This window comes from Homo sapiens, chromosome 18 (assembly GCF_000001405.40).
Source record: "Homo sapiens chromosome 18, GRCh38.p14 Primary Assembly".
NCBI lineage: Eukaryota > Metazoa > Chordata > Mammalia > Primates > Hominidae > Homo > Homo sapiens.
This window is the reverse complement of record NC_000018.10, coordinates 21,420,011-21,447,554: the sequence shown is the minus strand read 5'-3', so window position 1 is coordinate 21,447,554 and position 27,544 is coordinate 21,420,011. Positions and strand designations below refer to the sequence as shown.

Genomic DNA, 27,544 nt, shown 5'->3' with positions numbered 1-27,544 from the left:
TATCAGGAGGCATAATTAATTGAAAGCACAAAGGCATTCTGGGAAAATAAAATTACTAAACATGTTCACAACATCCTTTGTTGCCTTAAAGCTCGCTTTTATACAGTTTTGACTGATGTACAATTAGGAATCAAGAAGTGGAGGAAAAGGTATTAAGTTTAAATGAGGTAAGAGACTTCTTAGAGTAAAATGCCTTGTTTCCAAAAATCAACTATCACTTTTTCATCCTCAGCCTTTTAAAAAAATTTTTTTTTTAAATTTTTTTAATTAGAGACAGGGTCTCTGTCTGTCTGCCAGGCTGGAGTACAGTGGCACAATCATAGCTCACTGCAGTTCTGAACTTCTGGGCTCAAGTGATCCTTCTGCCTCAGCCTCCCAAGGTGCTGAGATTACAAGCGTGAGCCACCACACCCAGTACCTCATCCTCAGCCTTTACAATTACATTGCAGGTGTCTTTTCTCCACTTTCGCAAGCTTGATAACAATAATCTTTTCCTTCAAGTGCTGATCTCCAATAACTTAGGTTAGCTGAGGTATCAGTTTTAATGACTTTTCAGAAAGAACTACCTTAATAGGAAAAGTCAAGGTTTAAATAGACTCAGAGCCTTACAAGAATCTCTGGATTTGCTGATTTCATTATCTACTTCAAAGATTTTCTGACTGTGAAATGACTGAGATTTTTTAAAAGTGACTGTAGTGAAGAGGTATGGTTCCTTCTGAAGAATCTTGCTTTTCTTCTTCTCTGATACCTCTAAGTAACTGAGCCGCTGAAGTATTAAAAATCCTTTTAGAAGTTTAGATTTATTTTTTTAAATGTCTATAATCTATGCCATATGTGAAACTATTCTTGCTTGCCTTCTTGAAACCTCCAGAGGCAAGAAATAAAGAAATAAATAAATAATAAATAAATAAAGGACTCCAGAACAGTTGTTGAGGGATAGAGATGTCTCAATGTACAAAGCTTAGGTTTTAAAAGAGAAATAGCTATTCATGTATATCGAGAGGCCTAACTGATTGACTGCAAGTCAAATTCAGGAAAGAACTGATCCTGCAGGTCAGAGAAGAATCTGTGTAATTAAATTGAAATTGTTTCTTTTTTTCTTTTCTTTTCTTTTTCTTTACAAAAGATAAGAGCATTTAGTACTTTAAGAAAAGATATCTTATTTTGACCACTTGGTTCATTTAATTAAATTAGACTCCGATTTTAAAAATTGCTATTAAGATTGAAAAGGAGGCCGGGCGTGGTGACTCATGCCTGTAATCCCAACTTTGGGAGCCCAAGGCAGGTGGATCACCTGAGATCAGGAGTTTGAGACCAGCCTGGCCAACATGGTGAAACCCTGTCTCTACTAAAAATACAAAAATTAGCAGGGTGTGGTGGTTCACGCCTGTAGTCCCAGCTACTCGGGAGGCTGAGACATGAGAATTGCTTGAACATGGGAGGTGGTGGTTGCAGTGAGTCGAGATCGCACCACTGCACTCCAGCCTGGGAAACAGAGTGAGACTCGGTCTCAAAACAAACAAACAAATAATCAAACAAACAAACAAACTGAAAAAGAGTGCTATAGTGATTTTCTTGGTTGGCTATATCATCACTTTATGAAGCCTGGTTTTACTAATTCTGGGTGCATTTAGAAGTTGGCTTTAGATCTTAGAACACAGTCTATAATCTAATTTCAGTATGTAGCAATTAAAATTATGTCATCAAATGAGCTGTGGACCCAGATGAGCTTTATAATTGTATTACCTTTCAATAAGCATCATTAGTAAGTCCTAGGTTTATCATGAAATTGGTGCCTTGTAAATTTCAAAAGGCCATGTCGAAGCAGAGGCCAAGTCAAGGCAGCCTCTCAGGGCACAGAGTTCTAGTCAAGATTGCTAGCTAATGCACCAAACACTGAATATGCCCTAATAAAGCTTTTTTCTTTCTTTTAAAGTTATTTAGTCCAGTGTTTTTATTATCTCCTAACACTGAAGTATTTTCTAAAATTAAAAAATTTCACAAGAGTGCATACTAATATTTTTATGTGTAATTTTACATCTCAAATATTTTTTTCTTTTCTTTTCTTTTCTTTTTTTTTGAGATGGAGTTTCACTCTTGTTGCCCAAGCTGGAGTGCAATGACGTGATCTGGGCTCACTGCAACCTCCGCCTCCCGGGTTCAAGCAATTCTTTTGCCTCAGCCTCCTGAGTAGCTGGGATTACAGGCATGCGCCACCACGCCCAGCTAATTTTGTATTTTTAGTAGAGATGGGGTTTCTCCATGTTGGTCAGGCTGGTCTCGAACTCCCCACCTCAGGTGATCCGCCCACCTTGGCCTCCCAAAGTGTTGGGATCACGGGCGTGAGCCACCGTGCCCGGCCACATCTCAAATATTTTTCTAAGTAAATCAGTGGCTTGAAGTGATAGAGTGAGTGTATAATTAGATGGCCTACTGCCATTTGCAAAATAAAGGACATTTCGATGTAAATGCTGCTAAGCCACTCTAGTATTGTCAGGGCACCTGCATACACCCACTTTGGGGCTTCGGAGAATATATCAGATAGAGGAAGTGAAGGGTTCATGACCTACATATCCCCCTTACCCTATAGCTTAAAGACCTTCCAGGGAGGTCCACAGTTATGACCTCAATGATGGAAAGCACGATGGGACTCCATCAAAGGGGTGTAGCTGGAGAAGAAAAAAAATGGGTGTAGGGCCAGTGGATAAACAAGATAAAAAGGCTAAGTGGAAAACTGGAAAATAATTGTTTAAGACAATGGCTGTGTTTGCACTCCAGATGGTAGGTGCACTTTCAGAAAGGTGGCCTGGCCAAGCTCCCCAGAGAAGGGGTGCTCAAGGCACAACCCTTTAAGGTTCTGCCTACCTTAACTACTTTGGAGACCTTTGCAGCATCATGAGACTGGACACTAGGTGGTGCAATTCATCTCCTCTAGGACCCAAAGAAGAGGAAAGGAAAGGAGTAGAAAAGAAATGAAGGAGAGGAAAGGGAAAAGTTACAGAGAATGGGGTTGAAGGGAAAGAACATTAGAAGCGAAAGAGGGAAAATAAGAGATAGGAGGATAAATGTGAGAAAGAAAGAAAAAGTACATCACAAAAAATCCTCAAAAGTAGTCACCAGCAAATGATTATGGAAAATGACTTACCCAGCCGCACAAGATACTGTATCGTCAGAAGAATCATGTTTTCCACGCTCAGAAATTGGCTGCCGGTCAACCCTAATTTTTCCAAATCTTTGTTTTCCAACTGTGGAATCTTGTAGCAATTCACCAGCAGAGGACTCACAACAATGTCACCAACATTTCCATAGAAATAGGGTAAAGTGCCATAGCCTGTCCCAATAGAAGCAGGTCAGTACAGTTCAACATTTCTTTTTATGGTCCAACCAGGTACACTTGCTCAACGACGATCAAAGCTGCTTAACAAAATTCCCTGCCCTCTGAGATAGCTACCAAACAAATCACTCAAACATATCAATCCCAGGGAATTCACTTGGATGCTCCAAATTCTATCCTTATATTAAGTTAAATGAACAGGAAAGAAAATACAGTTGGCCCTCTATGTCTGTGGGTTCCACGTTCAATCAACCGTGGACTGAAATAGTCAGAAGAAAAAATTCCACAAAGTTCCAAGAAGTGAAACTTGAATTTGCTGTGGGCTGAGTAGTACACTGAATTCATGTGAATGACGTGATGTGTAGGCACTGTATTAAGTATTACAAGCAATGGAGAGGTGGTTTAATGTATATGGGAGGATGTGCATAGGTTATATGCAAATACTGTGCCATTTTATATGAGGGACTTGAGGATATTCGATTTGATATGGGACGGGGCCTGGAATCAATCCCCCAGGGATACTAAGGGACAACTGTACTCATATTATCTCTGTTTCTCATGGAAGGAACATGTTAATATTTTGCTGGAAGACTGATGAGTTTGCAAAACATGTCTGTATCCTCTGTAAAACTGCAATGATAAAATATTTCTGATAAAGTCCCTGATCAAGTTTATTTTCAGATAAGAAATCAGAAAACAAACAAATGACAATATGGCTGGGCAAGGTGGCTCACGCCTATAATCCCCGCACTTTGGGAGGCCCAGGCGGGTGGATCACCTGAGGTCGGGAGTTTGAGACCAGCCTGGCCAACATTTTCACCTTTAGTAGAGGCGAAACCCAGCCTCTACTAAAAGTACAAAAATTAGCCAGGCATGGTGGCATGCAACTACATGGGAGGCTGAGGCAGGAGAATCGCTTGAACCCAGGAGGCAGAGGTTGCAGTGAGCCGAGATCGCGCCACTGCACTCCCGCCTGAGCCACAGAGAGAGACTCCGTCTCAAAAACAAAAAACACTGGCCAGGTGGGGTGCAGCTCACGCCTATAATCCCAGCACTTTGGGAGGCTGAGGCAGGCAGATTGCTTGAGGTCAGGAGTTGAGACCAGCCTGGCCAACATGATGAAACCCCATCTCTACTAAAAATACAAAACTAGGCTGAGCGTGGTGGTGCACGCTCGTAATCTCAGCTACTCAGGAGGCAGAAGAATCACTTGAACCCAGGAGGCGGAGCTTGCAGTGAGCAGAGATTGTGCCACTGCACTCCAGCCTGAGTGACAGAGCAAGACTCTGTCTCAAAAAACAATGACAAAAAACAAAAACAGAAACAAATGACAATACATGTTTCACTTCCTGAGATTTCCTTTCCTTTCCCCTTTCCTTTCCTTTCTGACACTATCCACCTGGAGATATTCCTGAGATTTTCTTTAAAAAAAAAAAAAAAAAGTAAGCTAAATTCATTGATTAATAGCAAGATTCTTCTAGTTTCAGGTGCTTGGAGATCCCTGTTCCTTTGTTATCTTAGCTATTTTTGTGAGGTTGTCTTCCTAAATGTCAGTAAACAGTCTCAAATTGTTTTGAAATAGATAGGATAAAATATGTCCAAAATATGCTCTGTTTTGGTGGTTGATGGAGAGGATAGTCCCTCTGTGAGACTTTCTAAAAGGCAGGCACCAAAGGACCAAAGGGTCCCACGTTCTATGCATCTTTCCAAAGCTTAGTGGCACTATGTTAATGTTCAAAAAGAGCTTCCTAATCTATACAGCATTTAAGCAACTGGGATCCCCTCAGTACCTACAGATCTAGGATTAGCAGATAAAGCAACCAGGTAAAGGACATGACTCCAAGCAAAACCATCCAATTAGGCAGGCTCAGGCCAACCCAAAAAGCAAATAACACTGCATGTAAACACACCCTAAAGATGTGGGGAACTTAAACACCCTATCTATTTTGTCCTTAAGGTAGAGCAAGCAGTCTCCTTCTGGCCTAGGCCAGCCCTAAACCAAGGAGTCTCCTGAAATGGGTATGAAAAGCACTAAGTTAGTCCTGGAATGTAGGGACCCCTAAATGTCTATACCTCCACTTGTAGACCACCTGGAAGGACTCAGCCTCCTCAAAGATGCTAAGGTTCAGACCTGCAACTGTAGGGCCTCTTGGTTCTCTTGAGTAGGGTCTTTCAGCTGGCTTGGCTTGTTTCATTTCTTTGTGGTTTGGCTCCCTTTGACTGGAATGTCTCCTCCCTGACCTTGTCCACTTTGACCAACCTTCAGGACCCAGCTTAACCAACACCTCTGGGAAGTCTTCTCAGATCCCTCCAGGCAGAGGTAAGCCCTCTCTCAGAGCTCTGAGTTCTGGTTGCTCCTGGTTGTGAACCTCTAAGGAGCTCACATGTCACAGTGTGCTATAATGGTATCGCCCATGTGTTGTAATGCTTATTTACCAACGCTGGTGGCTCATGCGAGGTGAGACTCCCCCACTAAACAGTGCTCCTTGAGGGCAAAAAGACTTTGCCTTATCCTCAGCTCCTAATCACATGTTTAATATAGCATGAAAGAGCTGACCAATAAAAGCTGACAGAATCAACAGATGGATGAATATCTTCATGAATACATGAAAAAACACAATGAAATGGAAAAACACTCCTAGATTCCAGCAGACACAGGCAACTTGGAATTCCATTACCTTACCTATCAGAATTACTGGTCTAACTCCTGAGTTACTCAGCAGGTTTTCAGGAACAATTACAGTTTCCCCTGCAGGAATGGGCCTGGGTTGTAAAATTCCAGTTAGTGGGGTCTGTGGAACTGGGGCAGATAAAAGGGGCTCTGGAAAAAAAAAAGTTTGACAAGAAAGATGGCGTGAAAACTAAATGAAATACAATAGAAAGCAATGCAGTTTTAATACTTTTAACAGAGAAGCATTAGAAATCTAATGGTTTGTTGTGTTTTTCATTAGGTTTATTGTGTAAAGTGATAAGTGAAAAAAACAAAAGGAGAAAAAAAATTAACCATAATCATAACATGTGGCTACAACTACTATTTAGCATTTTGCTGATTTTCCTTCCAGTTGTTTTTTCCATATGCAATATTTTGGATCCTGTTTGGTATCTTAGCTTTCCCCCCAAGATTATCAAAGGCATATATCTGTTCATTACATACATTTTGAAAGGTATAGAAAAGTGTGAAGAAGGATGAACTCATCATTAACCAGTACTACCTACAAGCAACCATAGTGACAGACTGGCATAATTATTTGTGTATATAAGATGTCTATGTAGTCTTTAAAACTATTTATTTAAACAAACATTTAAATAACTCATTTATGTCTTAAAACCAGTATATTTACAATTGTCTGTGGTTTGTTCAGCAAGGTAGACAAATGTTTGAACTGTGGATACCAAATGGCTACAGTTAGGTGTTCTGAAAGAGAGCCAGTTGGTTTTGGTTTTTCAGGTTTCTAGCCACAGACTGAACCATCCAGGTCAGAAATAATAAGCGTGGGTCACATAAAGAACCAGATAACAGCAGGGAAAATCTAACACCACTACTAGCAAAACAAGTCCATATATGCTCTATGATGGTGGGTTGGTAGCATTGTGTCCCATATAACGAATGGCTTTTCAATGCTATGGGTTGAAATTAAGCCAAAGGTTGAATTCAGATCAGTTGTAATGATCTTGTGCATGTAGGGAAGGCAAATGTGATCGGGACAAAACATTAGCTACTATCAATATCCTCATATAACTCATTGTCAAGAATTCAGGGAAAGAATGGAAGTAGAAGATATCTCTGCTAATTAAAAACACACTTACAATCCATCTTCTGTTAAAATCTTACCCGTTCTTGAAAGAGGGCGAACTGTAGGGACAGGTACAACTAAGCCAGGTTGGGGGAGAGGTGACCCAGGATACCATCCCCGGTGTCGTTTCTTTGGTGGCCCAGAAATGAACATGGTAGCTGAAGACAAACAAAAAAACAAAAAAAAGAGATAGTCTTGTTCTCAGCCATGTGGAAGAAAGGAAAGAACGCCAGAGTAATATAAGTAATACAGAACCTTTAATTTGATTATACTCAGAAAGTCTAAATCACTCCTTTAGAGGTAAAGTTTAAAAAAAAGCCACATTAGTAACCTAACATTACAATAACAGCCACTTAACATCTGTATGTTGTTTTACAGTTCCCAAGTTTATGTAGGTTATTTCATTTGATTCTACCCACAACCTTGTGGAGTTGTAGGGCAAATATTGTTGTTATACCCATTTTGTAAAAGGAGAAAGGAAAGTTCAGATTTGTTCAGGATCACACAACAGAGAACTTTGAATCCTGTACTTTAATCAGCTAAACCCATGGTTTTTCAAGACACTTCCTTATACATTTGTTTCAACATTATTTCCCAGTTAGGTCATCCACATAGAATCCCAAGATATTTACTCATTACTGTTCACACCAATTACAAACTTTCAAAACACTGTATGACGAACTGAGAAAAAACTCTAGAGTGTGTTGCCAGATAATTCATTACAAAATCTGGAGCACTTGTAACCACTGGTAAGTGCATTATTACAAAACTCTACGACAGGCATTGTACCTTGATCTCCTGATGCATAGCTAGGTCGTGGTGACAAAGAGTAATTCCCTGTGTGGGCTGGAGTGGAGCTGGATGCACTGCCCTTCCCTCCATGGCTACTGTTTCCATTAGCAGCATCTGTAGAACACAAGGAGAGGAGTGCTCAGAACAGAGGCTGGGCGGGGCACTGCTTTCTGGGATGCTGGAACCATCTGATAGACCTCACACTCTAGGATTCCAAGAAACCTCACGGATAGGACTCAGTCCAGTTATACAAAACCAACTGCAACTGTCAGAGGAAGATCTTCATTAAAATTAAATGTCACTTAGAAACAATTTCCTAGGACCCCAAGAGATCTTCTGGAATCAGTTTCAGTGAAGTCTTTGGAGATGATGGGTGGGAGGAAGGGAAAAAAATTCTTATATACACTTTCTTAACTTTGCATCATGGAAAGTTTCAAACATATAGAAAAGTAGAGAGAATAGGATAATAAACATCTACATACCCACCATCCAATTTCAACATTTACCAACACAGCCCATCTTGCTTTATCTATACCCTTACCTCCGTCCCCTCCACATACACACATGCATGCTGTGAATTATTTTGAAGCAAACCCATATCATTTTTGTACATAAATACTTCTATGTGCTTCTTTCTTTCTTTTCTTTTCTTTTCTTTTTTTTTTTTTTTTTTTGAGACAGAGTCTCACTCTGTCGCCCAGGCTGGAGTGCAGTGGTGCGATCTTGGCTCACTGCAAGCTCCGTCTCCCAGGTTCATGCCATTCTCCTGCCTCAGCCTCCCGAGTAGCTGGGACTACAGGCGCCCACCACCATGCCCGGCTAATTTTTTGTATTTTTTTTAGTAGAGATGGGGTTTCACCGTGTTAGCCAGGATGGTCTCGATCTCCTGACCTCATGATCCGCCCGCCTCGGCCTCCCAAAGTGCTGCGATTACAGGCATGAGCCACCGTGCCAGGCCTTTTTTTTTTGAGACAAGGTCTCACTGTCACCCAGGCTAGAGTGCAGTGGCGGGCTCAGAGCTCACTGCAGCTTTGAATTCCTAGGCTTGAACGATTCTCCTGCTTCAGCCTCTCAAATAGCTGGGACTATAGGAGTGTGCCACCACACCTGGCTAATTTTTAAGATTTTTTTTTTAAGAGAGAGCATCTTGCTATGTTGTCCAGACTGGTCTCGAACTCCTGGCCTCAAGCAATCCTTCCACCTTGGCTTCCCAAAGTGTTGGGATTACAGGTGTGAGCCACCACACATGGTCTTATGTATGAGTTTCTAAAAGAAAAAGACTCTTTTAAAAATAACTGTAATATCATTGCTATACTTAAAATTAGCAGTGATTAATACTTTCTTTTTTTCTTCTTCTTCTTTGAAACAGGGTCTCACTCCATCATCCAGGCTGGAGTGTGGTGGTGCAATCACAGCTCGCTGCAGTCTTGACTTCTGGGCTCAGGCGGTCCTCCCACCTCAGCCTGCCAAGTAGCTGGGGCTACAGGCATGTATCACCATACCTGGCTAATTTTTGTATTTTTTTCTGTAGAGACAGGGTTTCCCAGGCTGGTCTTGGACTCCTGGGTTCAAGTGATCTACCCTCCTCAGCCTCCCAAAGTGCTGAAATTATAGGCATGAGCCTATAATAAACATCTACATACCCACCATCCAATTTCAACATTTACCAACACAGCCCATCTTGCTTGATGGCATGAGCCACCGCATATAGCCAATAATTTCTTAATATCATAAAATATCCTATTAGTATTCAAAAATTTCCCCAACTATCTTTTAATTATCTGTTAAAAAATATTTTTTTAAAACAGTTGGCTTGTTCAAATTGGAACTCAAAAAAGATGCACATACTGAATTTAGTGGCTACGTCCCTGAAACCTCTTTTAATCTATAAGATGTCCTTCCTTTTCTTTCTTACAATTAATTTGCTGAAAACCTGGCAGAATTTTCCATTTTCTAGATTTTGCTGATTATATACCTGTGGTGTCACTTATTCTCTTGTCCCCTGTATTTCTAATAAACTAATTATTAGATATAGAGGTTTGATCAAATTCAGGTTTTTTTTTTGGCAAGAGTTATAAGTACTGTGGTATACAGTACTTCCATCAGGAGGCACATAAGCCAGTTTTCTCTCTTCTTATGATATTAAGATTGATTAGTAGGTTCAAAAGTTGTCAGCATAATCCTTGGCATTATAAAGTTGTTCAGCCTTTCATCTGATCGCTTTAGTAACCATGATGATTACTGATCTATTACTTGATTCTTTTAATGCTGTAAAAACTTGATTCCATTGTTCAAAGTCTGTAATCCAACCAGAAGATAGATCCTGCAAGAATTGTTGGACCTGAGTAAGAACAAAAGTGGGCTGTGTAAAGTATGATGCCTAACTGTTGAAAAATTTCCAAAAATGGCCAGGCACAATGGCTCACACCTATAATCTCAGCAATTTGGGAGGTTATGGCAGTAGGATCACTTGAGCCCCGGAGTTTGAAACCAGCTTGGGCAACATGGGGAAACACTGTCTCTACAATTAAGAAAGAAAGAAAAAAGAAAAGTTTCCAAAAATGACAGGCTCTCTTTATGCTCATTCTTCTACTTCTCTTAAAATTTCTTCTACCACTAAACTTGGCTGGGTGCCATGGGTCATGCCTGTAATCCCAGCACTTTGGGTGACTGAGGCTGGCTGATCACTTGACTCCAGGAGTTTGAGACTAGCCTAGACAACATAGCGAAACCTTGTCTGTACAAAAAATGCAAAAATTAGCTGGGCACGGCAGCATGTGCCTATAGTCCCAGCTACTTGGGAGGCTGAGGTGGGAGGGTTGCTTAAGCCTGGGAGGTTGAGGCTGCAGTGAGCTGAGATCGCACCAGTGTACTCCAGCCTGGGTGACAGAGAGATACCCTGTTTCAGAAAAAGAAAACACACACACACACACACACACACACACACACACACACACACACACACCACTGAACTTTTCTGGGATTCTATCTTTATGTTTTTGAGATAGATTCTCATTCTGTCACCCAAGCTGAAGTGCAGTGGCACAAACATGGCTCACTGCAGCCTTGACTTCCCAGGCTCAAGCCATCCTCCCGCCTCAGCCTCCTGTGTAGCTGGGGCCACAGGTGCACATAACCACACCCAGCTAATTTTTTTATCTTTTGTAGAGACAAGGTCTCACTTTGTAACCTGGGCTGGTCTGGAACTCTTGGTCTCAAATGATCCTCCTGCCTTGGCCTCCCAAAGTGATGGGTTTACAGGCGTCACTGTGCCTGGATGAAGCCTATCTTTTGTTCACAGCTTGCCTCAGCCTACATCTCTCCTTGGCTTATAGTATTTACCCTGATGACTTTAACTATATGTTGGTGGCTCTACTCTATACCATCAGTCCTGAATTATCCCTATGATAAATTAAATGGCTGTTGAACAGCTCCACATGGATGTCTTATAGGAATCTCAAACTCAGCATTTCTAAAATTGAACTCTCAATCTCCCACTGGAGAACCTGATCCTCCTTCTGTATCCCTGTCTCAGATGATGGCAATCACCATAAGCCCAGAAAGATGAATGTCTATTGAGACCCCTTCTTCTCCTTGATGCTCACGTTAATCAGCTAATTCCTGCTAGTTTCACTTCCCGAGTAGTTCTCTAATTTGTCCTCTCTTCTGCAACCTGTTATCATTCTAGCCAAGGACCTCATCATTTGTCACCGAGACGACTGAAATGACCTCCAACTAGTTTTCCTATCTCGTCTTCTTCTTACGCATTACAGCCAAAATGATCTAGCTCAAGTTCAAATCAAACCATGCCATTCCTCTGCTCTATAAGTTATAGAGTGAAATCCACATTTCTTAGGCTGGCTGCCTATAACTTTTCCCTTAACCACCACCCACTCACCTCTTGCCACTTTTTGAGCTTTGCATTTTATGGTTCTATCAAGTCCAAATCGCTGGAAGTTCTTGCGTACATCATATTGCTTTTCCCCCTTCCCTTCTTTTCCTTTTAACCATTGTTTCTGCTGTTCCCTGAATCTGAATTGCTTTTCCTCTACTCCTTTGTACAGTGAAGATCTCCTCATTGTCAAAGACCAGGCTCCTCTGAGAACTTACTCTTAATTACTCCTACAATGCTGGGCTAAAACCCTTTGCTCTGCGTTCTTCTGTACATTGCCATATTTGCTACAGTACACTGAAAATATCTTATCAGAGGTCTGTCTCCCCCACTAGATCACAAGGAAGTTGGGGGGTCAGGGATTGAACCTTATCTTTGTATTCCCAGTTCCTAGTTATAGCAGGTGCCCAAGAAATGTTTGTTAAATGGAATCAGATTGTTATGTCACTTCCAAGTAACAAGTGTCATTCCCTGACTCTTCTGGTTGGAAGGCAGAGAACATAAAGCTTCATACACTAGTACATTATTATAGACAGCCACACTTCTCTCTTCAACTGGCAGGGAGAGGCAGCTTCTGTTTTCTTCTATCAATTTGTCAATTAAATGTCACACAAGTCTTTTATGGACTATGTATTTACCAAAGATATATAAGTGAGGAAAACATCACCTGCAGCAAAAGTCTTCCCTACAACCTGCAAAGATAAAGCCAGTGGTTTCACAACATTGTTATTCCGGGTCAGGTCCTGAGCTCCACTTAAATTGATTGCAGAATTAGCTGGACTGAGAATCGGCGAATCTTTAAAATGAAAGAGTTTGTTTAAATTAGCAACTATTTATATATGCAGGAAGGAAGTTAATTCAACAAGAGTTGAGAAAAAGGAGATTATAGAATTTCAGTCCTTTCCTTGAACTATTCTGACATTTTAAAAAGTCCATTTCTATGTGGACTGGTTTTTAATTTTTTACTTATTTAACAAACACTCACTAGAAGTTACCACGTGATGCATGCTATTTTAAGCACTTTAAATATATTAATTCAGTTAATTCGTGTAACAGTGTTGTGAGGTAAGTATTACTACCTTAAATAGCAGCAGCCATTTAACCTAGTCAAAGTTAACTGTGGAGGTGGTCTCCACAGACCCCCTCAAAGCCATATATATATATATATATACACACATATATATACACACATATATATACACATATATATACACACACACACACACACACACACACACACACATATATATATATATACTATTTTTTTTAGATGGATTCTCACTCTGCTGCCAAGGCTGGAGTGCAGTGGTGTGATCTCGGCTCACTGCAACCTCTTCCTCCTGGGTTCAAGAGATTCTCCTGCCTCAGCCTCCTGAGTAGCTGGGACTACAGGTGCACGCCACCACGCCCAGCTAATTTTTGTATTTTTTGGTGGAGGTGAGGTTTTGCCATGTTGGCCAGGCTGGTCTCGAACTACTGACCTCAAGTGATCCACCTGGATTGGCCTCCCAAAGTGCTGGGATTACAGGTGTGAGCCACCATGCCCAGCCTCAAAACCAGATTTTAATGAGATGTATTTATCTCTACCTAGATGAGTTTATTATTTTAAAAGTGTCATGCAAACCAACTCACTGAAATGTAGGAGAAAGCATTTTTCTCTGAAAGAAAGTTGCTTTAGTTTTTTTTTTCTTTTAATAAATTAGAATTAATTTACTGCAATGCCAGGAACATCCAAAAGAAAGCTCTTTGGATTAAGAAAATAATTCAGCCCAGAAAACCACATTCTATTTCAGAGACAGGCTGTGGAAGAGAGAAAGATTCAAGCCAATTAGAGTTTTTCTAAATGAGTAGAGACCCCAAATCCCTGACTACTCCAGCAGAACAGCTAGATCGATTAACACAGGAAAGTGTCAAAAGGGACTGTCAAACCTCTCTGAGAGTCTGAGAGCATGCTCTAAGGAACAGGATACTTACTAATGGTGCTCCCTTAGAAATTACCTAGAAAATTATTCATCCCACAACATGATTCCTGATTCATCTAATCATTGTTTCTCAACAGAACTCAAAAGAATGAAATGGTCCCCCACTGGCTTGGATGAGTTAACATGCTTCTCTAAGGGCCTGACTTACTCACCTGTGAGTGATTTAAGGTCTGCTGGAAGGACCCAGTGCACACACAACATTACAAAGTTGTGGGAAACTGAAGATGACCCCAGTTTTTCATGTCTTAACAGAGCCTTACAGGACAAGAATCCGAGTTAAGTTTGCTATGCTCTTACACAGATCTGTCATTATGTTTCAGGCCACAGTCATATTGTTTGGAAGATTAGCAGCTTTCTATACTAGTTTATACCTATAATTTTAGCATATCCCTAATTTGAAGAGTGATAATTCATCTTATATTTTTAAAACAATGAATTCAAATTGGTACAGAATAATGTTTTAAAAATCAGAAGGTACAAAGTTAATCTACAGAAATAAATCTTCATATATATAAACAACAATCCATAGTTAAATAAAATGCCTATGAATAAGCTTAATAAGAAATGTATGCAACTACATGAAGAAAACGTCATAATATTTCTGGACATAGTATCTGGGATTTGTCTTAACATATTGAAGGAGGAAGTTAGATTAAATAATAATCACTATGTGTTCATAAGTACTGAAACTGGGTGATAGGTCATGGTGGTGGTTTACTTTATTATTCTATTTTTATATGTGTTTGAAAATGTCAGCTGGGTGCAGTGGCTCATGCCTGTAATCCCAGCACTTTGGGAGGCCAAGGCGGGTGGATTACCTGAGGTCAGGAGTTCAAGACCAGCCTGGCCAACATGGGGAAACCTCGTCCCTACTAAAAATACAAAAATTAGCCGGGTGTGGTGGCACACACCTGTAATCCCAGCTACTTGGGAGGCTGAGGCAGAAGAATTGCTTGAGCCTGGGAGGCGGAGGTTGCAGTGAGCCAAGATCATGCCACTGCACTCCAGCCTGGCTGACAGAGCGAGACACTGTCTCAAAAAAAAAAAAAAAAAAAGAAAAAAAAGAAAATGTTAAATAATTTTTAATTAAAAAAAAAACTTACGAAAATCATGAATATACACCTGAACAAATACGAAGACATACCATGCTTCTGAGCAGAAATATTCAATGTCAAAAAGATGCCAATCAACCTAAGTTAACCATTCAGTAAGTTATATTGAGGCAATTATGTACATAGGAAAAAAATAAAGTTGTACCAACATCTTACACCAGGTGTCAAAAAAAAAATCAAATGGACCAAAGATATAAACTTAGACTCTGAAAATATAAAGATAATAGAAAATATGGAAGAATTAATTATCACCTTGATATGGAAGAGGCCAAATTATTAATCAAAATGCAGAAGCCATAAACAAAAGACTGATAAATTCAGTTACAAAAAATAAATAATTTCTGCATGGCAAAATTTTATAGCCATATAAATAGTAGCCAGAGAGAGATGGAGTGGCCATCCTAATCTCAGAAGAAATAGACTCTAGGCCGGGCACGGTGGCTCACGCCTGTAATCCCAGGACTTTGGGAGGCCGAGGTGGGCGGATCATGAAGTCAGGAGATGGAAACCACCTTGGCTAACATAGTGAAACCCTGTCTCCACTAAAAATACAAAAAAATTAGCCGGACGCGGTGGCAGGCACCTGTAGTCCCAGCTACTCGGGATGCTGAGGCAGGAGAATGGTGTGAACCCAGGAGGCGGAGCTTGCAGTGAGCTGAGATCATGCCACTGCACTCCAGCCTGGGCGACAGAGTGAGACTCTGTCTCAAAAAAAAAAAAAAAAAAAAAGAAAAGAAAAGAAAAATAGACTCTAAGACAAAAATTATTACTACATGAAAAAAAGAACACTTTATAATGATAAAAGGGTCAATCCACCAGTAAGACATAATTATAAACATATACACACCTAACAACAGAGCCCCAAATAAATGAAGCAAAGATGAACATAACTGAAGGGAGAAACAGCTATTTAATAACAAGGGTTGGGTACTTCAATACCCCACTTTCAATAATGAATAGAACAACCAGGGAGAACATCAATAAAGAAATAAAAGACTTGAACAACACTGTAAACTAACTAAGCCTAAGACGTCAGTAGAATATTCACCAACAAAAGCAGAATATACATTCTTTTCAAGGGCACCAGGGAGATTCTCCAGGATAGACTATATGTTAGGCCATAAAACAAGCCTCAATAAACTTCAAAGAACTAAAATCATATAAAATACATTATCTAAACTCAAGAGACTCAAATGAACAATCAATAACAGAAGAAAATTTAAGAAATTCACAAATTTATGAAAAATAACACATTCCTAAATAACCAATGGATCAAAGACATCACAAAGGAAATTGTATACAACTTTAAAATAAATGAAAATTAGGTTGGATGCGGTGGCTGACGCCTGTAATTCCAACACTTTGGGAGACCGAGGCAGGCGGATCACTTGAGGTCAGGAGTTTGGGACCAGTCTGGCCAATGTGGCAAAACTCTGTCTCTACTAAAAAATACAAAAAAATTAGCCACGTGTGGTGGTGGGCGCCTGTAATCCCAGCTATTCAGGAGGCTGAGGCAGGAGAATCACTTGAACCCAGGAGGTGGAGGTTGCAGTGAGCCGAGATGGTGCCACTGCACTCCAGCCTGGGTGACAGAACAAGATTCCATCTCAAAAATAAATAAATAAATAAATAAATAAATAAATAAATAAATAAAATAAATGAAAATTAAACACAACATACAACAACTTATGGGATGCCACTAAAGTAATTAGAAGGAAATTTATAGCTGTAAATGCCTATATTAAAAAAAAGAGGCCAGGTGCGGTGGCTCACGCCTGTAATCCCAGCACTTTGGGAGGCCGAGGTGGGCAGATCACCTGAGGTCCGGAGTTTGAGACCAGCCTGACCAACATGGAGAAACCCCGTCTCTACTAAAAATACAAAATTAGCCAGGTGTGGTGGCGCATGCCTGTAATCCCATCTACTCCCGAGGCTGAGGCAAGAGAATGGCTTGAACCTGGGAGGCGGAGGTTGCTGTGAGCCAAGATTGCACCATTGCACTCCAGCCTGGGCAACAAGAGCGAAACTCCGTCTCAAATTAAAAAAAAAAAAAAAAAAAAAAAAAAAGATCCCAAATCAATCACCTTAAGAGTGATCCCAAATCAATCACCTTAAGAAACTAGAAAAAGTGAAAACTAAACCCAAAGAAAGAAGAAGAAAGGAATAAAGACAATCGACAGCAACAGAAATTAATAAAGTAAGGAATAGAGAAACAATAGTGGAAATGAACAAAACCAAAAGTTTGTTTTTTGAGTGAATCAACAAAATTGACAAGTCTTTAGCCAGATTGACCAATGAAAAAAAAAGAAGATATAAATTACTAAAACTAGGAATAAAAGACGGGGCATCACTGGCAACCTTAAAGAAAAAAAAAAGCATTATAAACAAATGCTATGAACAATTGTATGCCATTGTTATAGACTGAATTGTCTCCCCGCAATCCATATGTTGAGGCCCCAATTCCTAAAACCTTCGAATGTGACTGTATTTGAACATAGGCCCTTTAAAGGGGTAATTATGATGAGATGAGGTCATAGGGTAAGGGCGTAATCTGAAATGATTTTTAAGGACTGGTGTCCTTAAAAGAAGAAGAGACATCAGGAATGTGCCCATACACAGAGGAAAGGCCACGTGAGGACACAGCAAGAAGACGGTCATCTGCAAGTCAAGGAGAGAGGCCTCAGCAGAATCCAATCCTGCCAGCACCTCAGTCTTGGACTTCCAGGTGTCCAGGACCGTGTGAAAATAAATTGCTATTGTTTAAACCACCCAGTGTGTGGTATTTTGTTAAGGCAGCCCTCGCAAACTAATATAGCCATCAAATTAGATAAATCTAATTAGGTAATTAGATTTGAAATTGACAAATTCTTAGGACAGAAATGATCAAAATTGACTCAAGGAGAGAGAAAAATTCTGAATAGACCCATAACAAGCAAAGAGACTAAATTAGTTAAAAACAAAACCAAAAATAAATCCCACAATTATCCACAAAGAAAAGCCTAGTTCAGAAGTCTTCCTTAGTGAATCCTACCAACATTTAAAGAATACCATGCTTTCTCAAATTTTTTCAAAAAGTAGAAGGAGGAGCATTTCCCAACTCAACTTCTTAAGGCCAATATTACCCAGACAAAGACATCAAATGGCTGGGTGCCATGGTTTGCACCTATAATTCCAGCTACTCAGGAGGCTGAAGTGGGAGGACTGCTTGAGCTAGGAAGTTTGAGGCTACAGTGAGCTATGATCACACCACTGCACTCCAGCCTGGGTTACAGAACAAGACCCTGTCTCAAAAAGAAAAGGAAGAAAGGAAAAGAAGAAAGGAAAGGAAGAGGAGAGGAGAGGAGAGGAGAGGAGAGGGGAGGGGAGGAGAGGAGAGGAGAGGAGAGGACAGGAGAGGAGAGGAGAGGAGGGGAAGAGGAAGGGAGGGGAGGGGAGGGGAGCGGAGGGGAGGGGAGGGGAAGGGAGGGGAAGGAAGGGAGGGGAAGGGAGGGAGGGAAGGGAGGAAGGAAGGAAGGAAGGAAGGAAGGAAGGAAGGAAGGGAGAATAGTTTATGAAACACATGAATGTGTACATAACAATGCTCAACAAAATACTAGCAAATACAATCTAGCAGCATATAAAAAGGATTATAGGCTGGGCACGGTGGCTCATGCCTGTAATCCCAGCACTTTGGGAGGCCAAGGCTGGTGGATCACTTGAGGTCAGGAGTTCGAGACCAGCCTGGCCAACATGGTGAAACCCCACCTCTACTAAAAATACAAAAATTAGCTAGGTGTGATGGCGGGCACCTGTAATCTCAGCAACTCGGGAGGCTGAGGCAGAAGAACTGCTGGAACCTCGGAAGTGGAGGTTGCAGTGAACCAAGATCGTGCCATTGCACTCCAGCCCGGGCTGACAACAGCGACACTCCGTCTCAAAAAAAAAAAAAAAAAAAAAAAGAGATAAACCGCGATCATGCCATTGCACTCCAGCCCGGGCCGACAACAGCGACACTCCGTCTCAAAAAAAAAAAAGGGACTATATGCTATGGCTAAGTGAGATTTATAGCTGAAATTCAAGGTTGGCTTAACATATGAAAATCTATCGCTGTTATTCCATACACCATATTAACAAAATAAAGGACAAAAACCACATGATCATCTCAAGAGACACAGGTAAAGCATTTGACAAAATCCAACATTCTTTCACGACAAAAACACTCAACAAATTAGAAACAGAAGGGACCTTCCTCTACTTGATAAAAAGCATCTACAAAAAAAACCACTACTTCCAGTTTCAACACAAGAGGACAAAAAAAAAAAAAAAAAAAAAAAAAAGACAAAAAGACAAAAACCCAAAATAAAAACAACAAAAAACCCACTACTACCATCAGACTGAGTGGTAAAGATCAAACTATGATCTGGACGAAGATATGTCCACTCTTTTTTTTTTTTTTTTTTTTTTTTTTTTTTTGAGACGGAGTCTCGCTCTGTCGCCCAGGCCGGACTGCGGACTGCAGTGGCGCAATCTCGGCTCACTGCAAGCTCCGCTTCCCGGGTTCACGCCATTCTCCTGCCTCAGCCTCCCGAGTAGCTGGGACTACAGGCGCCCGCCACCGCGCCCGGCTAATTTTTTGTATTTTTAGTAGAGACGGGGTTTCACCTTGTTAGCCAGGATGGTCTCGATCTCCTGACCTCATGATCCACCCGCCTCCGCCTCCCAAAGTGCTGGGATTACAGGCGTGAGCCACCGCGCCCGGCCAAGATATGTCCACTCTTGCCGCTTCTATTTAACATGTACAAGAAGTTCTATCTAGGGTAATTAGGAAGGAAAATAAAATGTATCCAGGTTTGAAGGAAGAAGTTAAACACATCTATTTGCAGATGACATGATCCCGAATATAGGAAATCCTAAGGAAGCCACTACAAAACTACTAGAGCTAATAAATGAGTTCACCAAGGCTTCAGGACAGAAGATCAGTATTCAAAAATCAGTTGTATTCCTATGTAATTGCAGTAACCCCAAAATATACTTAAGGAAAAACTTCCATTTTATAATAGCATCAGAAATAATAACTACTTAGGAATAAACAGAACAAAAGAAGTGTAAAACTTATACTATGAAAACTACAAACCATTGTTGGTTTTTTTGTTTTTTGTTTTTTTGAGGCAGGGTCTCACTCTATTGCCCAAGCTGGAGTGTAGTGGCATGATCACAGCTCACAACAACCTCAAGTTCCTGGGCTCATGTGATCCTCCCACCTCGGCCTCCCAAGTAGCTGGGATGACAAGCACATGCCACCATGCCCGGCTAATTTTTTGTATTTCTTGTAGAGATGAGGTTTTGCCATGTTGCCCAGGCTGCTCTTGAACTCCTGAGCTCAAGAGATCAGCCTGCCTCAGCCTCCCAAAGTGCAGGGATTATAGGTATGAGCCACCACATCTGGCCACAAAACACTGTTGAAATAAACTAAAGAAGACCTAAACAAATGTAAAGACGCCCATCTTCATAGATCAGAAAGGTTAATATTAAGATGGCAATACTACTCAAACTATTGTAAAGATTCAGAGTAAGCCCCATCAAAATTCCAGCTGGTTTCTTCACAGAAATTGACAAACTAATCCTAAAATTCAAGTAAAAATGCAAGGGACCCAGAATAGCCAAAACAGTTTTTTTTTTTTGTTTTTTTTTTTTTTGTTTTTTTTTTTTTTGAGACGTAGTCTCGCTCTGTTGCCCAGGCTGGAGTGCAGTGGCACGATCTCGGCTCGCTGCAAACTCTGCCTCCCGGGTTCACGCCATTCTCCTGCCTCAGCCTCCTGAGTAGCTGGGACTACAGGTGCCTGCCACCATGCCCAGCTAATTTTTTTGTATTTTCAGTAGAGACAGGGTTTCACCATGTTAGCCAGGATGGTCTCGATCTCCTGACCTCGTGATCCGCCCGCCTCTGCCTCCCAACATGCTGGGATTACAGGCGTGAGCCACCGCATCTGGACAGCGAAAACAATCTTGAAAAAGAAAAGCAAAGCTGGAGGACTTACACGTCCCCATTTCAGAATTTCATACAAAGCTACCATAATTATGCAGTGTGGTGTTGGCATAAGGACAGACATACAGATCAAGGAAATAACACTGAGAGTCCAGAGATAAACTCTTACATTTTATGGGCAAATGAAATTTGACAACAGTGCCAAGAAAATTCAAGGGGTTAAAAAATTTAGTCATCTTAACAAATGGTTTTGTGACAACTGGATATCCACAGGCAAAAGAATGAAGTTGAACCTCTTCCTCATACCACATACAAGAATTAACCTAAGGCCGGGCGCGGTGGCTCATGCCTATAATCCCAGCACTTTGGGAGGCTGAGGCAGGCGGATCACGAGGTCAGGAGTTCGAGACCAGCCTGGTTAACATGGTGAAACCCCCGTCTGTACCAAAAATACAAAAAATTAGCCAGGCGTGGTGGTGGGCGCCTGTAGTCCCAGCTACTCAGGAGGCTGAGGCAGAAGAATCACTTGAACCTGGGACACAGAGGTTGCAGTGAGCCGAGATCGAGCCACTGCACTCCAACCTGGGTGACAGAGGTAGACTTCATCTCAAAAAAAAAAAAAAAAATTAACCTAAAATAGATTATACATCTAAATGTAATGGCTAATAGCTAATAGCTATAACACTCTTAGAAGAAAACACAGGAGTAATTTTCATGACCATGGATTAGGCAATGGTTTCTTAGCTATAACACCGAAAACACAAACAAAAGAAAATATACATGAATTAGTCTTCATCAAGATAAATAAACTTCATGTTTCAAAGGACACCATCAAGAAAGTAAAAGACAACCCACAGAATGGGAGAAAATCTTTGAAAATCACGTATATGATATAGGACTTGTATTCCAAATATATTTTAAAAACTCTTGTAAATCAATAAAGAGTCAACCCAACTGAAAAATTGAAAATTGATTTGTATAGATACTTCTTCAAGGAAAATATACAAATGGCCAATAAGCACATGACAAGATGCTCAACATCATTAACCACTGGAGAAATGCAAATCAAAACCACAATGAGCTACTACATCGTACCCACAAGGGTGGCTATAATAAAAACAGACATTAACAAGTGTTGGTAAGGATATGGAGAAATTTGAATCCTCACACATTGCTGGTAGAAATGTAAAATGGTGCTGCCACTTTGGAAAACAGTTCTCAAATGATTTTACATAGAGTTATCATATGACCCAGCAATTCCACTCCTAGGTTTGAAATGTGAGAGAAAGGAAAACACGCATCCAGCCAAAAACCTGTGCACAAATGTTCATAGCAGGATTGTTCATAATAGCTCCAAAATGGAAATAACCCAAATGCCCATCAACTGATGAATGGCATTTATCCACAGATTGTATATTGTATGGATAAACATAGGTTTATGCTTCAAAGGACACCATCAAGAAAGTGAAAGACAACCCACAGAATGGGAGAAAAATCTTTGAAAATCATGTATCTGATAAAGAACTTGTATCCCAAATATATATATTTAAAAAACCTCTTATAAATCAATAATGGACAACCTGACTGAAAAACTGAAAATTGATTTGTATCAACTTACCTATTAAAAAATTGAAAATTTATTTGTATCATATGTTTATCCATACAGTAGAATATTATTCAGCAGTAAAAAGGAATAAAGTACTGATACATACTACGATATGGATGAACCTTGAAAACATTATGCCAAATGAAAGAAGCTACTCACAAAAGACCATGTGTAACAATTATATGAAATGCCCAGAACAGACAAATACATAGAAATAGAAAACAGATTTGTGGTTGCCAGGGGCTGAGGAAAGGGATGAAACAGGGAATGACTATTAATGGATATGGGATTTTTCCTTGGAGTGATGAAAATGTTCTGAAATTTACTGCGGTGACGATTGCATAATTCTGTGAATATAATACTTAAAAACACTGAATTGTACACTTTTTGTTTTTTATTGAATTATATACTTTTAATGGATGAATTGCATGATATATGAATTATATCTTAATAAAGTTGTCAGTTTATTTTATTTTGAGACAGAGTCTCACTCTGTCACACTTTATTTTGAGACAGAGTCTCACTCTGTCACCCAGGCTGGAGTGCAGTGGCACAATCTTGGCTCACTGTAACCTCTGCCTCCTGGGTTCAAGTGGTTCTCATGTCTCAGCTTCCCAAGTAGCTGGGATTACAGGCATGCACCATCCATGCCCAGCTAATTTTTGTATTTTTAGTAGAGATGGGGTTTTGCCATGTTGGCCAGGCTGGTCTCGAACTCCTGGCCTCAAGTGATTCGCCTGCCTCAGCTTCCCAAAGTGCTAGGATTACAGGCTTGAGCCACTGCACCTGGCCAAAGTTGTTACTTTAAAAATACTATGTATAAACAAAATTATAAACCAGGGAAAATTCTGTGACTAATATCACAATAATTACACTATGCATTACTGTCAACAGAGGCCAATAAGAGAAAAACATTGTAGTAAGCGGATGCTTTGTTGCCCTACATCACATCCCTTTGGTCTACCTTTGATTTCAGGAGAGGCTCTAGTGGACAGTTCTGCATGAGCTCAGACTCCTGGGGATAGCATCCTACCTCAAGCTCACATCTAGCTTCTTTTAGTTATTTGTCTCAGGGCCTTCTCCAAGGCCACAAAGCTCTCTCAGCCCTCTGTATAGTCCAGAAGTGCAAGAACGTATAATGCTTGTAGGGCAATCCTAAATTAATAAGGGATGTAAGAATAAATGTCCCAGCCTCCCGAGCCTCGCATTCTTTTTTCTTTGAGATGGAGTCTCACTCTGTTACCCAGGCTGGAGTGCAGTGGTATGATCATGGCTCACTGCAGCCTCAACTCCTTGGCTCAAGCAATCCTACCTCAGCCTCCCATGTAGGTAGGACCAAAAGCGTGGGCTACCACACCTAGCTAATTTATTTGTATTTTTTGCAGACAGGAGGTCTCCCTATGTTGCCCAGGCTGGTCTCAAACTCCTGGGCTCAAGTGATCCTCCTGCCTTGGCCTCCCAAACTGCCGGGATTACAGGCATGAGTGAACGCGCCCGGTCTGAGCCTCCCATTCTTCAGAAGGATAATTCTTTGAGGAATTCTGCATGCTTCTTGGAGTATCTAGTGGATTCAAGCCTTTCTGTTTTACAGGAATTATGTACAAAAAACACTCTTATGTTGGCTTATTCCTGCTTCCAAGGATTATTTCTCAAATAAACAACCTGCACCTAAGTCCTTCCCTTAAACTCTGATTCTAGCAGAACCCAAACTATGATAACCAACAACTCAATAACTAAAGGGTAAAGGTTATGAACTTAGAGTTTATAGGAAAAAATGCAAACAGCTTTTAAACAAATGCAACAATGCTTAATGTCAATAAGGGAGATGCAAATTTAAAAAACAGATTTTGGGCCAGGCATGGTGGCTCATCCTGTAATCCCAGTACTTTAGGAGGCTCAGGCGGGCAAATCACAAGGTCAGGAGTTCGAGATGAGCCCGGCCAACATGGTGAAACCCCGTCTCTACTAAAAATACAAAAATTAGCTGGGCATGGTGGCACCTGCCTGTAATCCCAGCTACTTGGGATGCTGAGGCAGGAGAATTGCTTGAACCCAGGAGGTGGAGGTTGCAGTGAGCCGAGATCGCGCCACTATACTCCAGCTTAGGCAACAGAGCAAGACTCCGTCTAAAGAAAAAACACAGATTTTATTTTTCACCCATCAGATTCACAAAAATCCAAAAGTTCAATAAATAAACTCAATTAGTGAGCCTCTGTGGAAATATTGGTACAACCTGTTAGGAGAGTAATTTGACAGCATGCATAGAAATTACAAATGAGTATATGTTTGATCCAGCAATCCTGGACATTTATATATATGTGAGAAATGATATATATTGAGGTTATTCATTGCTACATTGTTTCAAAACAATATAAATGCCTATCAATAGGGAGCAGGTTAAATAAATTATGGCATATCCAGATAGTATGTGGCAGTAAAAAATTAATGAGGAAGTTCTCTATTGATTTGGAAAGATCTTTAAGACACAGCAATATGAAAAAGTGAGGTGCAGAATCCTGCATACAAAATTTTGCCTTTGGAGTAAGAAAGTTGTAAAAATAAGAATTTGCATTTGTGCTTGCTTGAATAGATATAAAGAAAATCTAGAAAAATACATAAGAAAAATAATTACAGTGGTTACCTGTTTGGGAGGAGACTAGAAATAAGGTGAGATGAAAGAGAAACTTTTTACTGCATATATATGAATATATTATATATGTATGTATATACACACGCACATAGGTATTTTTGAAATATGTAAATGTTTCAGAACAGTTTTGATTATTTGGGAGTAGCCCCTAAATATCCAAAATGTGATCCCCTGTCACCTTGCTCAGACACGAATTTGAACCATGGGGCTGTGAGGCTACCGTGCAGAACCTGGTGCTTAGTGAGTAAGTAGCTGATTTGCTCAGCATCTACATCTCACCAAGGCCTCATTCTCTCTACTAATGATTTCATATCCATTTAAAGAAGGAACTTGTAAGCACTGGAGGATTCACAAACTTGGAAAGTTCCTTGAGCAAGTCACAGCTCTGCTCTCTACATTGTGGTAGTTTGTAACTTCTTGTTTCTCCCACTAGGTCATACAGCTCCTTGAGGGCATTCCCAGCTCCAGGTACAATGACTGTCACATTGTGGCTAAAGAAATAAAATGGAAAAAAATACCAAAATAATCTCCTTATCCTCTTTATACAATAGTTCAATTACTTTCTGTTAGCCCAAAATCACTGGGGGAAAAAATCTTCCAAAACATAGGGAGCCAATTACGTAGCCAGTAGAGAGTTTGAATCTTGATTTTTGCCACTCGTTACCTCTTATTTCACCAATTATTAACCCTCCTTACAGTCTGTTTCATGATCTGCAAAATGACACTACAACCTCACAGTAGCAATGAACATGTTTAGCACAGAACCTAGAACACAGTAGATATTCAGCAAATGCTTTGCTAAATCTTGTTAAAGGTTTTCCAGATGACCAAGAGCTTAAGTCTTTATGAGCTCTCCTTTTGCCTTTGATGCCTGTACAAAATGTAGACTATAATTTGCTTCTTTCCTGGGTTAACTACAACGGACCTCTTTTCACATTCACATGCAATTAATGTCCTTCTAATGTAGACACCATATTTCTATTATTGCACTCTGAGCCTGCATTAGTTATGTCAGCCATGTTTTATTTTTGATTCAGTTGAATTAGCATTTAATTAAAATATAACATATTTCCCCTCTAAAACTCATGTTAAATCAGGTATCTTCCTAATCCATTCTTATGCTGTTGATTTTAAAAATAGCTTTATTGAGGGATAATTGACAATAAACTGCACATACTTAAAGTACACAATTTGGTAAGTTTGACATATGTACATACACATGAAATCATCACAATCAAAATAATGAACATATTTATCATCCCCACGTTTCCTTGTACCTCTTTGTAATTCCTCCCACCTATGCTTCCCTTGCTCCCATCCCCAAGAAACTGCTGATCTGTTTTCTGCCACTATAGATTACTTTGCATTTTCTAGAGTTTCTATGCATAGAATTGTACAGTATCCCTTTTTTTGTTTCTTTTTGGTCTGGCTTTTTTCACTCACTAGATTTATTTTGAGATTCATCCACATTGTCATGGGTATCAAGAATTCATTACTGTTTGGATATATCAATTTATTTATCCATTCACCTGTTATAGACTTTTGGGTTGTTTCCAGTTTGGGGTTATTACAAAGAAAGCTGCTATCAACAATTGTATACAAGTGTTTGTATGGATTTTATTTTCTTTCCCCTCTGGTAAACACCTAGGAATAAAATGGCTAGACCATATGGCTGGTATATATTTAACTTTTTAAGCAACTGTCAGACTGTTCCAAAGGTGACTTTATAATTTTATGTTCTCAGCACTGCATTAGAGTTCTACCACCTCTACATCCTCACCATTGCTTGATGTAGTCTTTTATTTTAGCCATACTAATAGGTGTATACTGGTATCTCATTGTTATTTAAATTTGCATTTCCCTAATGATTAATGATGTTGAGTATCTTTTCACAGTGCTTAACTGCCACCCATATAACTTTTCTCATTTTAAAAACTGGCTTATTTTCTTATTTTTCAATTTTTATAGGGCTTTAGTTCAGAAACAATCCCTTTATATGCTTTGCAAAGATTTTTCTCCTATCCTGTGGCTTTTCTTTTCTTTTTTTTTTTTTCGAGATGGAGTCTCTCACACTGTCGCTCAGGCTGGAGTGCAATGGCATGATCTCAGCTCATTGCAACCTCCGCCTCCCAGGTTCAAGTGACTCTCCTGCCTCAGCCTCCCGAGTAGCTGGGATTACAGGCACCCGCCACCATGCCTGGCTAACTTTTTGTATTTTTAGTAGAGATGGGGTTTCACTATGTTGGCTAGGCTGGTGTCAAACTCCTGACCTCATGATCTGCCCGCCTCGGCCTCCCAACGTGCTGGGATTACAGGCGTGAGCCACCGCGCCCGTCTGTGGCTTGTCTTTTCATTCTCATTTGAAGGAGAAGTTCTTAATTTAATGAAGTCCAATTTATCGATTTGTTCTTTTTTAG

The 27,544-nt window shown here is 40.2% G+C and overlaps 1 protein-coding gene and 1 long non-coding RNA gene across 30 annotated transcripts in view; one reads left to right on the top strand and one right to left on the bottom strand.

Moving 5' to 3' along the window:
* GREB1L (GREB1 like retinoic acid receptor coactivator) overlaps positions 1 to 27,544 on the bottom strand; it is a 283,881-nt gene that overhangs the window by 78,558 nt on the left and 177,779 nt on the right. For 15 of the 29 annotated variants that reach the window (XM_047437819.1, NM_001142966.3, NM_001410868.1 and 12 more), the window contains 4 exons: positions 7,918 to 8,034; positions 7,167 to 7,286; positions 6,018 to 6,155; positions 3,146 to 3,331 (listed from right to left, as the gene is read on the bottom strand). In XM_047437819.1, coding sequence (XP_047293775.1) covers positions 3,146 to 3,331; positions 6,018 to 6,155; positions 7,167 to 7,286; positions 7,918 to 8,034 — 561 coding nt within the window. Of the gene's footprint in view, positions 1 to 3,145; positions 3,332 to 6,017; positions 6,156 to 7,166; positions 7,287 to 7,917; positions 8,035 to 12,479; positions 12,609 to 27,544 lie in introns of all 29 variants that reach the window. The other 14 variants (XM_006722547.4, XM_011526179.4, NM_001410867.1 and 11 more) reach the window with 1 other exon arrangement.
* GREB1L-AS1 (GREB1L antisense RNA 1) overlaps positions 1 to 27,544 on the top strand; it is a 71,004-nt gene that overhangs the window by 3,493 nt on the left and 39,967 nt on the right. The window lies entirely within an intron of this gene.